The 14,497-nt window shown below is 41.3% G+C and overlaps 1 protein-coding gene across 9 annotated transcripts in view; it reads left to right on the top strand.

Annotated features, from left to right (window-relative positions):
• LUC7L3 (LUC7 like 3 pre-mRNA splicing factor) overlaps positions 1–14,497 on the top strand; it is a 36,617-nt gene that overhangs the window by 6,438 nt on the left and 15,682 nt on the right. For 6 of the 9 annotated variants that reach the window (NM_016424.5, NM_001330330.2, XM_005257452.2 and 3 more), the window contains exons 2-3: positions 10,920–10,986; positions 14,266–14,305. In NM_016424.5, the coding sequence (NP_057508.2) occupies positions 10,920–10,986; positions 14,266–14,305 (107 nt within the window). Of the gene's footprint in view, positions 1–10,919; positions 10,987–11,318; positions 11,440–12,068; positions 12,160–14,265; positions 14,306–14,497 lie in introns of those variants that run through there. The other 3 variants (XM_006721943.3, XM_047436248.1, XM_047436249.1) reach the window with 3 other exon arrangements.

Here is a 14,497-nt window from a genome sequence, read left to right on the forward strand (position 1 = left end):
GACTCTTGATAATCTCTGCATGAGCAGTTGGTGTCTAAAGTAAATTGCATATCACAGTAAAAAATTATCCCTTGGTTCTTGTGTATTTTCATCATTGTTTATTGCAATACCGTATAAACTTGTTGTTTTGCTTTTTGTTGTTGTTGTTTTTGAGACAGTCTTGCTCTGTCGCCCAGGCTGGAGTGCAGTGGTGCCATCTCGGCTCACTGCAACCTCTGCTTCCCAGGTTCAAGCAGTTCTCATACCTCAGCCTCCCAGGTAGCTGGGATTACAGCCGTGTACCACCATGTCTGGCTAAGTTTTGTATTTTTAGTAGAGATGGGGTTTTGTCATGTTGGCCAGGCTGGGCTCGAACTCCTGGCCTTAAGTGATCCGCCCACCTTGGCCTCCCAAAGTGCTGGGATTAGAGGTGTAAGCCACAGCGCCTGGCCTATGTACAATACCATGACCTTTGAATAACGCCCTGAGACCCATACGAAGTGCAGCTAGTGACATTGGAAGTGCTCCGAAGAAGCAGAAAAGTCATGACAGTACAAGAAGTTAAATTGCTTGATATGTACGATAGACTGAGATCTGCACCTGGGGTTGCTGGCATTTGAGACAATTCATCTTTTGTATACAGATGACCTAAACTTAGGGTATTGATAAATACAGCACTGTAAATGTGTTTTCACATTTTTTTCTCTAGCTTACTTATAGTTATTTTTTTCCCTAAACATTCTACAGTGCACATCTCTAGCTTACTTTATTGTAAGAATACAGTATATAGCCAGGCACGGTGGCTTACGTCTTTAATCCCAGCACTTTGGGAGGCCGAGGTGGGCGGTCACTTGAGGTCAGGAGTTGGAGACCAGCCTGGCTAACATGGTGAAACCCTGTCTCTACTAAAAATACAAAAATTAGCCAGGCGTTGTGGCCGGTGCTTGTAATCCCAGCTACTCAGGAGGCTGAGGCAGGAGAATTTCTTGAACCCGGGAGGCGGAGGTTGCAGTGAGCCGAGATCATGCCACCGCACTCCAGCCTGGCTGACAGAGCGAGACTTTGTCTCAAAAAAAAAAGAATACAGTATATAATACAAATAATATACAAAATACGTGTTAACCAACTGTTAGTGTTATTGTAAGGCTTCCAGTCAGTGGTAGGCTTTTGATAGTTAGGTTTTAGGGGAGTTAGGGTCAGTAACTCTCTTAGTTGTTATAAAGGAATACCTGAGGTTGGATAATTATAAAGAAAAGAGGTTTATTTAGTTCAGTTCCCCAGACTGTACAAGAAGCATTGTAGCTGGTACCTATCTGGTGAGGGTCCCAGACTGCTTCCACTCATGGCAGAAGGGGAGCTAGCATGCGCAAAGATCACATGGCTAGAGTGCCAGGCTCTGTTCAACAACCAATTTTCCAGTCAACTAAGAATGGGAATTCACTCCCACAAGAATGTTTTTTTTGGGACCAAAGAAACCACATCCAAACCATAGCAGTGCCCCAGCCCCCCGAGTTCAAAGGTCAGCTGTATAGTGTACACAGGAAAGGAGTGCATAACCCAGATTGGGATGGATACTCAGGAAAGGCCTGTCAGACAAAGTGGTCTTTAAATACATTTACCTAAAGGATTGGCAGGAATTAGCCTGAGGGAGAGGAGAGAGAAGACACCTTACCAGCCTGAAGGAAGAGCTGGAGAAAAATCGGTGAATTTGGCAAATTTTAAATAGTATTGTAGTGTGTATGTTTTTGTTGGGTGGGGTAGTGTAGATAGGTAGGCAAGAACTTGGTTTTAAATAGTTTTTATAGGCCGGGCGTGGTGGCTCACGCCAGTAATCCCAATACTTTGGAAGGCAGAGATGGTGGATCACGAGGTCAGGAGATCGAGACCATCCTGGCTAACATGGTGAAACCCCATCTCTACTAAAAATACAAAAAAAAAAAAAAATTAGCTGGGCGTGGTGTGGTGGCAGGCGCCTGTAGCCCCAGCTACTCGAGAGGCTGAGACGGGAGAATGGCGTGAACCCGGGAGGCGGAGCTTGCAGTGAGCCGAGATCGCGCCACTGCACTCCAGCATGGGCGACAGAGCGAGATCTGTCTCAAAAAAAAAAAAAAAAAAGTTTTTATAAGCCTTGTTGAAAGTTTAGATTTTATTACATTGGGAAATAACTGAAGGCTTCTAAGCAGAAGAGAGATGTTTACTAACTGGCTGCTGTGGAAGATTGATTGAAATTTTACTAGAAGTTTGTGTAGGCAATAAATAGTGAATCATACCTGCAAAGGTATACGTAATAAAATTAAAGGCATGGAAATGAATGTGTGGTCGTGGTATAACTGAAACATAAAGCTATATGTTATCAGGGACATAATTTTTGTTATAAATTCTTTTATTAAAAATTATTTCTTTGGGGGTTTATCTTTAACACAGTGAATTGAACTCTTAGGTAAAAAAAAATATTTATAGACTGTCATAATCAGAATTAAACTATTAATATTGAGGCAGAAGTGACAAAAGACTACAGCGTGTAGGGTTGGTTTTTGTTTTTGTTTTTTTGGAGACAGAGTCTTGATCTGTTGTCTAGGCCGGAGTGCAGTGGCGCGATCTCAGCTCACTGCAAACCTCCGCTTCCCAGGTTCAAGCGATGCTCGTGCCTCAGTCTCCCGAGTAGCTGGAACTACAGGCGTGTGCCTCCATGCTTGGCTAATTTTTGTATTTTTAGTAGAGACGGCGTTTCGCCATTTTGGCCAGGCAGGTCTCAAACTCCTGGCTTCAAGTGATCTGCCTGCCTCGGCCTCCCAAAGTGCTAGGATTGCAGGTGTGAGCCACTGCAGCTGGCTTGTGTTCCTTTTTTTTAACCAATAAAATTTCCAGGTATTCCTGGATTTTAAATTAATATTTGTATGTGTATGGCATTTGAGGTATTCCAGTAATATGTCCTGTTTCAGAATACAGTAAGTCTGCATTTAACGTCGTTAATGGGTTCTTGGAAACTATGACTTCAGTTGAAATGACATATAACAAAAGTTTTACCATAGACTAGTTAATATAAAGAAGAGTTAGGTTTCTGTGGCACATTCTGGTTACAGAAACATAACTAAAAAGACCCAAAACATTTCTGATATCAAACATTGAGATAAATTTGAGGTATACATACATTTAAGAAAGATGAATAAAAGCGAGGTAATTACCCAGTTTTTGGTGAATCAGTGAGTGATGGCAATTTTAGTGGTGGTGAGTTAAGTCAAGGAATAAATGTTTACAACTTGAACATTGTCAGAAGCACCTCCTACCTCCATTCAGTTCCAACACAATAATAAAGATGGTAAACTCACCACTTTTGGACTATGCTGTTTATTTTCATGCATTTGTATGATTATCATATGCTTTACAGACTTTTATTTTACAATAATTTCATTGTAATATACAATATATTCATTCCTTTCCAGCCTCCTTATTCCAGTTCAGGGTGGTGGGTGGCCAGAGCTGATCCCGGCTGCCCAGGATGCAAGGCAGGAACTAACCCTGGACAAGATCCCCTCCCATCACAGGGCATACTCACACACCCACACTCACCCAGACTGGGACTTAGGCATGCCAGTTCACCTACCGTGCACAGCTTTGGGATGTGGAAGGAAACCAGAGTACTGGGAGAAAACCCATACAGACATGGGGAGAACTTGCAGACTCCTACACAGTTAGCCCCAGCTGGGAATAATTTTTTTTCCCCTCATCACATTATTCAAGGACTTACTGTATATAGTAATTAGGATTGGCTATTTAGATTTTTAAAATTTAAGTCCCTGTCAGTTTTACTGTTTCCAACATGAGTTGTGTTGCCAGTGTTTAGATAATCAGAAGTATATATTGAATATAAATACATTATATATATATATATATATATATATATATATATATATATATATATATATGTATGTATTTTGGGGGTGGGGAGGTGGGGACAGTGTCTGGCTCTGTTACCCAGGCTGGAGTGCAGTGGCACAATCTCAGCTCACTGCAGCTTCCACCTCCTGGGCTCTAGCAGTCCTCCCACTGCTTGAGCAGGCTCCTCCCATTCCAGCCTCCTGAGTAGCTGGGACTATAGGCCCGCACCACCCCTGGCTAATTTTTTTGTATTGGTGGAGATGGGGTCTTGCCACGTTGCCCGGGCTGGTCTCGAACTCCTGAGCTTAAGCCATCTGCCTGCCTCAGCCTCCCAAAGTGCTGAGATTACAGGCGTGAGCCACCACTTCCAGTCTATTATCTTTATGATAAGCAGTTTAACGAAAATAGTGCAGACAGGCCAGGAGTTCGAGATCAACCATGGTAAAACCCCATCTCTACTAAAAATACAAAAATTAGCCAGGCATGGTGGCAGTTGCCCATAATCCCAGCTTGGGAGGCTGAGGCACGAGAATTGCTTGAGCCTGGGAGGTAGAGGTAGTGAGCCAAGATCGAACCACTGCACTCCAGCCTGGGCGACAGTAAGACTCTGTCTCCAAAAAAAAAAAAAAAAAAAAAAAAAGACCTAAAAATAGTGCAGACAGCATTGAAAATATTTGATTAGCTCAAAGGAGAATTGTATTGCTTAGTGTTGGATCTAAGTAGATATAGAAAGACAAAAATCATTAAGATGTCCTTAATGGGCCTGGTGCTGTGGCTCATGCCTGTAATCCCAGCACTTTGGGAGGCTGAGGTGGGCGGATCATTTGAGGTCAGAAGTTTGAGACCAGCCTGGCCAACATGGCTTAACCCCCATCTACTAAAAATAGAAAAATTAGCCAGGCATTGTGGTATGCTCCTGTAATCCCAGCTCCTTGGGAGGCTGAGGCAGGAGAATCACTTGAACCTGGGAGGTAGAGGTTGCATTGAGCCAAGATCGTGACACTGCACTCCAGCCTGGGCAACAGAGTGAGGCTCTGTCTCAAAAAAATAAAAATAAAAACTGTTGATGAGATTGAACACTTGTCACTAGTGTTGCCTTAAATTTATTAAGAGGATAAGTTATGATTATGTAGGTATTTAGAGAGTTTGCATGGGTATTAATCTGTAATAAGCATTTATATCTTTTGGGGATTACTATTAAATGAAGACTGCTGGTATTCCAAAACTTGAGCAGTTCTCATGATTATATCCAAAAGTAAGAAACGAATTCTCTGGGTTTATTCTTTTTTTGAGACAGTCTCTCTCTGTCATCCAGGCTGGAGTATAGTGGTGCGATCTCAGCTAACTGCAACCTCTCCCTCCCGGGTTCAAGCGATTCTCCCACCTCAGCCTCCCAAGTAGCTGGGATTACAGGCACTTGCCATTATGCCTGGCCAGTTTTTGTATTTTTGTAGAGACAGGGTTTCACCATGTTGGCCAGGCTGGTCTTGAACTCCTGACCTCAGGTGATCCGCCTGCCTCCGCCTCCCAAAGTGCTGGGATTACAGGTGTGAGCCACCACACCTGGCCTCTCTGGGTTTGTTCTTATTATCATTATTGATGACTTTATTTGAAGAACCCAAATATGTTCTTCCCATTTTTTCGGATCACTTGTTAATATTTTTAGTTAAAATCATTCTCTGGGGAGAGTTAAAAGAAGCAGTCCAGGTAGCTGGTTTATTGTGTAGAGTAACAGATAATTCTGATGTACCATTAAATGGTAAAGCAGGAGAGTTGGAGTGGAAGGAACACTCAGAACTGGATTGGGGAAATGGAATCTAGTCTGGATTCTGTAGATATAGCTGGATGCTGTCAGGGCAGGTCATGTGGTCTCTGATGGGGTGATTGGACTAGATTAGGTAGCTTCTGGTTAGCCCACAGACAGGCATGTGTTATTTGGTTTACACAGTGCCTAAAAACATTTAAAATAATAATGTGCAGCGGACAGGTCTACGGAAACCTACCCCCAGAGTCTGAAGAAGCTGAGAGGCCAAAGAAAGAGGCTGACAAATCCAGTGTCTTGGAAACATGTAATAGGGACCTACGAACAGAAGCCAGGTCTGTGTCTTGGGCAGCTGCTGGCGTCAAGACAAGATGTCATATCCCCAGACCCAGGGCTTATATGCCATAGGGAAAGGGTATCTGTGCTTCAGAAGGCATGTGTAGGATAATTACTTATGGGCAGGATTTATGTTAAGTACAAAATCATCGAAATTGTTTTGACCTAAGGGCAGGATTTACAGTAAGTACATGTTCTTAACACAAGGAACAGTAGATAAAGTAGAAATCTTAGGGGCATTCCTGGAATTGGAGTTAATCGGAAGTCAGCCTGGCACTTTAACACCCAAGATGGAGTTGCTTTCGCTTTTACATACAGGCTAACACCTTTTTCTTCCAATTTAGCAAATGTACACAGTTTAATCTTTACAATCCCACTATAAGAAATTTATTACCTCCTTATTTATTTGAGTCTTGCCCTTTTCACCCAGGCTGAAGTGCAGTGGCATGATCACCACTCACTGCAGCCTCAACCTCCTGGGCTCCAACGACCCTTCCACCCTAGCCACCCAAGTAGCTGGGACTACAGGTGTGTGACACCATACCTGGCTAATTTTTTTCATTCTTTTTTTTTTTTTTTTTTAGAGACAAGGTCTTACTATGTTGCCCAGGCTAGGCTCAAATGATCCTCCTGCTTTGGCCTCCCAAAATGCTGGGATTACAGGCATAAGCCACTGGGCCCAGCCTATCTCCTTTTTTAATACTATGAAGAAACCAAGGCAGAATTACGACCTCTGGTTCTTTTTCTTTTTTTCTTTTTTAGACAGGTTGCGTTCTGTCACCCTAGCTGGAGTGCAGCGGTGTGATCACAGCACACTGCCACCTCCACCTTTGAGGCTCAAGCAGTCCTCCCATCTCAACCTCCCAAAGTGCTGGGATTACAGGCATGAGCCCCGCCAGGTACCCCTGGTTCTTTAGCAGATAAGCAACGGCGAAGATTCATTGTGCTGTGTTGCAGTGTACCAATTTCACATGCTTGAGAGTCAGGAGGGACTGTAGAGATGTGTTTATTCGTTTTTTTGTTTTTTAATGGTGAACCTTTCTGAGGATCATAGACGTTGTGTCTTACCTACCTTAAACTTACGAAACACTTAAATTGGTCATGAGGCTGTTAGAAGTCCTATTGAAAACAATAAAATTAATCTTTAGATAGAATAATCTCCAAAACCCTAGAATATATTACTGTAAAAATGGGAAATAGAAATGAAATGTTTATAAGTAAAGATAAAATTCACAGTAATAGTAAAACTTTGTTTTTTTTTTTTTGAGACAGAGTCTCGCTCTATCACCCGGTGGTGCGATCTCTGCTCACTGCAAGCTCCGCCTCCTGGGTTCACATCATTCTCCTGCCTCAGCCTCCTGAGTGGCTGGGACTACAGGCACCTGCCACCACGCCTGGCTAGTTTTTTTTTTTTTTTTTTTTTGAGACAGAGTCTCCCTCTGTCGCCCAGGCTGGAGTGCAGTGGCGCCATCTTGGCTCACTGCAAGCTCCGCCTCCTGTGTTCACGCCATTCTCCTGCCTCAGCCTCCCGAGTAGCTGGGACTACAGGCGGCCGCTACCACGCCTGGCTAATTTTTTGTATTTTTAGTAGAGACGGGGTTTCACCGTGTTAGCCAGGATGATCTCAATCTCCTGACCTCGTGATCCGCACGCCTCAGCCTCCCAAAGTGCTGGGATTACAGGCGTGCAGCCAGTTCACAGTAATAGTAAGACTTTTCATGTGTGTGAGGATGGCACACAAAATTTAGTTTTTAAATTATTTTATAACCATACAGTTTATGGCTATAAATAATAGATTCTGGCAATAACTTTTACTAAATATAGTTGTGTGAAATTTTTGAGTCTTCAAAACAGGGTTAATATAATTGAAAGGTTAGGTCACAGTAAAAGTGGCATAATTGTTGCCACATCCTCCCTCCCCCAAATAAACTCTCAAAGAAATGTTTATAAAAATCGAGTATTGGCATTGGTATTTTACTGTGTTGCATTTAAAGTGAACACAAAGTTGAACAAAATGGATGTTTTAAGAATTAGAAAATCATATGGCATCACAAGCAGTGGAACTTCAGAAATAATTTTTAAAAACATTAGCTTTAGATAGCATATAGTCTTTTTAAAATAAACTATTTGTGACAACAATGTTTAAGTTACAAAGAATAATCTTTTTTAAAACTTTTTTTTTTTTTTTGAGATGGAGTTTCTTTCTTGCTGCCCAGGCTAGAGTGCAATGGCCTAATCTCAGCTCACCGCAACCTCCGCCTCCCAGGTTCAAGCAATTCTCCTGCCTCAGCCTCCCGAGTAGTTGGGATTATAGGCATGCGCCACCATGCCTGGCTAATTTTGTATTTTTAGTAGAGACGGGGTTTCTCCATGTTGGTCATGCTGGTCTCAAACTCCCGACCTCAGGTGATCCTCCCGCCTTGGCCTCCCAAAGTGCTGGGATTACAGGTGTGAGCCACTGTGCCCAGCCTTTAAAACTTTTATTATGTTCTTAGAGACGAGTTGTCACTTAATGTTGCCAGGGCCTGGAGTACAGTGGCTGTTCACAGGTGTGGTCCTAGCACACTACAGCCTCAAACTCCTGGGCTCAACTAATCTTCCTGCCTTAGCCTCCCAAGTAGCTGGCACTACAGGCCTGCACCACTGTGCCCAGCTGCAAAGAATAATCTTAAAAATCAAGTATAATAACTTGGAAAGAAAACAGTAGAAAGATACTAAGACATAAAGCTGTATCAGAGTAATATTGGCATAAAACTAGTGGCTTGCCTAGCTTAAACTTATGGAACAATAGTTTTAAATTGGTCATGAGGCCATTAGAAGTCCTATTGAAAACAATAAAATGAGTCTTTAGAAAGAATCTCTCCAAAACCCTAGAATGTATTATTGTAAAAATGGGAAATATAAATGAAATTTTTATAAGTAAAGATAAAATTCACAGTAATAGTAAAACTTTCACGTCTGAGCGCGGTGAGGCCTGTAATCCTAGCACTTTCGGAGGCCGAGGCAGGCAGATCACCTAAGGTTGGGAGTTCGAGACCAGCCTAACCAACATGGAGAAACCCCATCTCTACTAAAAATTCAAAATTGGCCGGGTGTGGTGGCGCATGCCTGTAATCCCAGCTACTTGGGAGGCTGAGGCAGGAGAATGGCCTGAGCCCAGGAGGGAGAGGTTGCGGTGAGCCAAGATCATACCATTGCACTCCAGCCAGGGCAACAAGAGCGAAACTCTGTCTCAAAAAAAAAAAAAAAGAAAAAAAAAACTTTCGTGTCTGTGAGGTTGTTTAAACATGAATATTTAGATATGTTTTATGACTTTAATCCTGGATGCAGCTTATGGAACCACATTGCTTCAAATGAGTGTAAAGCCGTTGAGGAAAAAAAAGGCCTATTTCAGATTTAGCACCCAGTCCTGTCTAGAAAGAACTTTCAGGTTTAAATTTAACACTGCCTTTTTTTCATTTCCTTTCCCTTTTCCTTTTCGTTTTCCTTTTGCCTTTCCTTTCTTTTTCTTTTTCTTTTTTTCAAGACAGGGTGTGATAGTGTTGCCCAGGCTGGAGTGCAGTAAATAGCACAATCATGGCTCATTGCAGCCTCGACCTCCCAGGCTCAAGCAATCCTTCTGCCTCAGCCTCCTGGGTAGCTGGGACTGTGCCACCATGCCTGGCTACTTTCTGTATTTTTTATAGACATGGGGTTTTGCCATGTTGCCCAAGCCGGTCTCAAATTCCTGGGCTAAAGTTATCCTCCTGCCTTGGCCTCCTAATGTGTTGGGATTACAGGTGTGAGCCACCATGCCTGACCAACGCTGCCTTTTCTTTTCATGTGTTATAGTTGTGCATTAATAATCTCCCCAGAGCTGGGCACAGTGGTTCACACCTGTAATCCCAGCACGTTGGGAGGCCAAGACGGGCAAATCACTTGAGGTCAGGAGTTCGAGACCAGCCTGACCAACATGGTGAAACCCTGTCTGTACTAAAAATACAAAAACTAGCTGGGCATGGTGGCACATACCTGTAATTCCAGCTACTTTGGAGACTGAGGCAGAACAATTGCTTGAACCTGGGAGGCGGAGCTTGCAGTGGGCTGAGATGGTGCCACTGTGCTCTAGCCTGGGCAACAGAGTGAGTGAGACTCTGTTTCAAAAAAATATATAGTAATAATCCACCTAGTAACAGTGAAGTTTTGTGTGAAGGAAAGGTGATATTTTGGAATTTTGATTTACATGGTTTGATTTGTAGTGTTATAAAATTAAATTTGGGATAGAGCAGTTTTGGAATATATCTGAAGGAGTTACAAAAGTACCAGTGGGAGAGAATTAAACATTGGTTTTATGTTAATAGTTTTTCCCCATACTGTGGGAACCCACCAAGAGAATTGCTTGGAGCCAGGAGTTTGAGACCAACCTGGGCAATGTAGCAAGTCCCCATCTTTCCAAAATATTTTAAAACATTTGCCAGGCATGGTGCTTGCACCTGTAGTTGTAGTTACTTGGGAGGCTGATGTGTTAAGGATCTTCTAAGCAAAAAGATGGTGCCAAATTGCTTTAAATGAGTGTTAACTGTGATTTAGATGGTTATTTCCAAATCCTAATTTGTAAATAGGCCCTAATCTATGAAAGAGATGAAATGATAAGAATAGCGTAAGAGTTTTTAAAAATATAAAAATTGCCCTTTATTTTGGGATGTCTTTCCCATATTTGTTTTTGCTACTGGGGGGTCAGCAGGTGATGATTAAAAATAGATAAAGAAAATACTAGTAATACGAGTACTGCAGATTTATTCTTTTATCGAAATTCAGGAGTCTGAAAATCACTAATTTACCTAATATGATTCAACAAATGAAATTCTTACATTGGTTGAAACATACATACCTCAAGAAATGAGAAAATAGTTATTTGGCACCTTTCTCCAATAAAGTTTTAAAACCAAGCAATTTTTTAAGTACCTTTGTTTTTCTTTACTAGGTTTGTAAATATTATCTCTGTGGTTTTTGTCCTGCGGAATTGTTCACAAATACACGTTCTGATCTTGGTAAGTGAATTTTCTGTGTAACTTTTATCAAATTTATGATATTTAAAATGTTGAATAGGAGTGGTGAAAGGAAAAAAACTGATTATAATTCTGTGAAGTTTTTTCTTAAAGATTTGCTAATAAGTAATTTCTTACTTGGTTTAGATATTTGAATGTATTAATAAATGTCAGTCTGATTAAACATGGTGGCTTAATTAAACATACATGTCTATTTCCACTCCCTCCCAAAACTCCACTTAAATGAAAAAAATTTTAAAAAGATGTATTTGGAAGAGGAGATAACATTAGAGATGTCAGCAAATTTTTGGAAGATGACAAGTGGATGGAGGAGTAGCAGCAAACGCAACAGAGCAGAGCAACCTGTACCCTAAAAGCCTGCAGAAGGGGATACTAAACAGAAGCGAGTGTTTGATCAGCAGAACCCTGGACAGGCTCAGGATTTGGAGGCACCAGGTACCACAGAAGGCAGGGTTGAGTCATGGGGCTGAAAATGAGAGAGATTAGTCTGTAGTCTAGTTCAGGGTTTCTCAACCTTGACATTGTTGACATTTTGAGCCAGTTTTGGAGGGGGCTTTTCATGCATTGTGGGATGTTTAGCAACATCTCTGGCCTTTACCCACTAGATAACCAGTAGCACCCCCTGTTGTGACACCCCAAAATGTCTTCAGACATTGCCAGATGTCCCCCAGGATGCAAAATTGCCACTAGTGTAGGTGGTCCTGTGCATCTGTTGATCTTACTCTCCTCCCCATAGACCCCAGGAGAAGAGAGGGTTATTTTCTGGAGAAATTGGACTAGAGAGACTAGTTTATCTGAACCACAAAATAGAAAAAAATAATTGACTATTTCCTCAATTCTCTCAAGGATGGTACATAACCAGGATCATTCTGGATACATAAAAGAAGTCAATTCATTATGTACAATCTTTGCCTTAGAGCATTAGGAGCATATTAAGGCAGGACCAGTCTAGATCTTGAGATTTCAGACACAGCAGGGGCAGTAGTAAGTTAAAAAAAGAATGTAAAACAGAGTAAATGAATCTATATTTTTATTGGTGGGGCTCTCCTCTGCCCTGTTCCTAGAAGGATACAGCCAGATGTTTTTCCCCAGGCAGAAGAAAAGAGGATTCTTCTCTAGAGAAAGTGAACAGTTCCTGAGAAGTGATCTCTGCAGGTACTGACCCTTGGGGAATCTCTTAAAAGAAAGTCTTACTGCCTGATTTTCCTATGATAAAGCCCATTCATGAGCTGACAAACCCTGCCTAATCCCTACTAACTTCCAGTCAGATTTTGGAAGTGTCTTTTTAAAAAATTAGTTGCTTGCCAAGGACCACCAGCCAGACGTTCGAAGAAAGCCTTCAACACAAGAGATTAACAAAACCAACAGAGAAAGAAGAATTTAGTGGAATTGGAGATAATGGGGAAAGCAGAAGAGAGATTCTTCAAAATCTTAAGAAATTTAGTATCTTCAGAGACATATGAGAAGACACTATATTCTTCAGCAATAATACGATGCCATAAAGAGGGAACTTGTGGAAAAAGTGAAAAACATTTTCTGAAAAACAGCTCTTAGAAATTAAAACTGAAGAAATAGAACTAAAATCACCAGAAAGATTTGAAAATAAAATTAAGGAAATTTACTGGAATATTGGGCAGTACGACAGAAGGATTTTTAAAAAACTTAGTCCAGGAACTGTACTACCAGCTTAATAGTTGTGGACAGAATAAAAGCAGAGGGAATTGCTTAAGAAAAAAAATTTGCAGTACTAAAGGACATTCATCTTTAGGTTGAGCAGGTCCTACAAGTGATCAGGACAGTGAATGAAAAAGATCCATACCTAGGCATACCCCTGTGAAATTTTAGAACACGGGGGTGGTGGGGGTGGGTGTAGGTCACAGAATTATGAATCAGAATGGCCTAAGACTGGTCAGTAACAACGGGGGAAGTTGAAGACATTGGAGAAACATCCTCAGGGTGCTGAGTGAAAATGTGTCTGCCGGAGGGGGAAAAAGACATTTTCAGATATACAGGGTCTCAACTGATTTATCTCCCACGGGCCTTTTCTCAGGAAACTCCACCAAAACATGTCCATAAACCGAGAAAGAGGAAAGAAAAAACAAGAGATCCAGTAATTCTCATCTACTACAGAGCAGAAAAGGAATTCATCAGGACAATAATTCTATAGTGAGCTTAGAAAATAAGTATCCCAGATTGAAGTAAGGCAGAAGGCCCATGGAAGAAAATGAAACTGATGATGTGATATATTTTGAGTCATATGTGAAATTAGTATTGAGATAGTTTCTATAGCTGAGTTTGAAGTGTTTGAGAAGAATTTGAAAATATAGAGAAAAAACTAGGCTCACACCTGTAATCCCAGCACTTTTGGAGGCAAAGGAGGGCAGATCACTCGAGGTGAGGAGTTCAAGAACAGCTTGCCCAACAGGGTGAAATCCTGTCTCTACTAAAAATACAAAAAAATTACGCAGGCATGGTGGTGGGTGCCTGTAATCCTAGCTCCTTGGAAGGTTGAGGCAGGAGAATCCCTTGAACCTGGTGGGCAGAAGTTGCGGTGAGCCAAAATTGCGCCGCTGCACTCCGGCCTGGGCGACAGAGCAAGACTCTATCTCAAAAAAAACAAAACAACAACAACAACAACAGAAAACATCAGAAGTGTCTCATAATGAGCCTTTGTTTGGCCTGACAGTGAATAGTACTTGCATAATATAAGCACCAAGTGTTTATTTATCCAAAAATTTTGATGTCTAGGATTGATAAATAGCAAAATAAGCATAGAATTTTAAAAGGTGGAGGTAAATTCGGGAAGAAATAGAGAAGAGTTAAGATAATTGCTTTTTAGAGGTGGGAAGAAGTAGGGGTTAGGTACTAGTCTAGTGCTATTTGACTTTATATACAGATTTGAAAATAATAAAGTCGGCAATGGTTCAGTTCAGTGGTCTGTCCCCATCAGTTTTCTTTAGTGGCAATAAGGAACAGTTTCCTTTCACCTTCCCTCCTTTTCTCCCTCCCTCCTTTACTTCTCTTTTAACCATATATGGTTGCTGTCCATTATATTGACTTTGAAGACTGAGCAGATCAATTTTATATCCTATTTGGTTATGATGCTTCATGATTTAGTAGGATCAGTTTAGATGTCTACAAACTACTCAGTGATAAAGTGAATCCTTTTTCTTTTTAAAAAGAAAAATAACTCTTTTTTTTTGGCAAGAAAAGGTTGCTAATAATCACAGATAATTTATACAATTATATTTTTTCCCCCAGGTCCGTGTGAAAAAATTCATGATGAAAATCTACGAAAACAGTAAGTTATTTTGCTTGTCATTTCCACCCCCCCAGTTATTAGTTGGTTTAAGTGGGACAAGGGTTGAGGAATAATTGCAATTAAATGTAAAATGAGTGTCTGAGAGAAGTCCAGTCAGTGGCTGGGGATAGTAAGAAAGTTCTATAGCTTCAGTAATGATACTGATAGCTACCACATGAGTGCACCCTGTAT

The sequence above is a fragment of the Homo sapiens genome, chromosome 17 (assembly GCF_000001405.40).
Source record: "Homo sapiens chromosome 17, GRCh38.p14 Primary Assembly".
Lineage (NCBI taxonomy): Eukaryota > Metazoa > Chordata > Mammalia > Primates > Hominidae > Homo > Homo sapiens.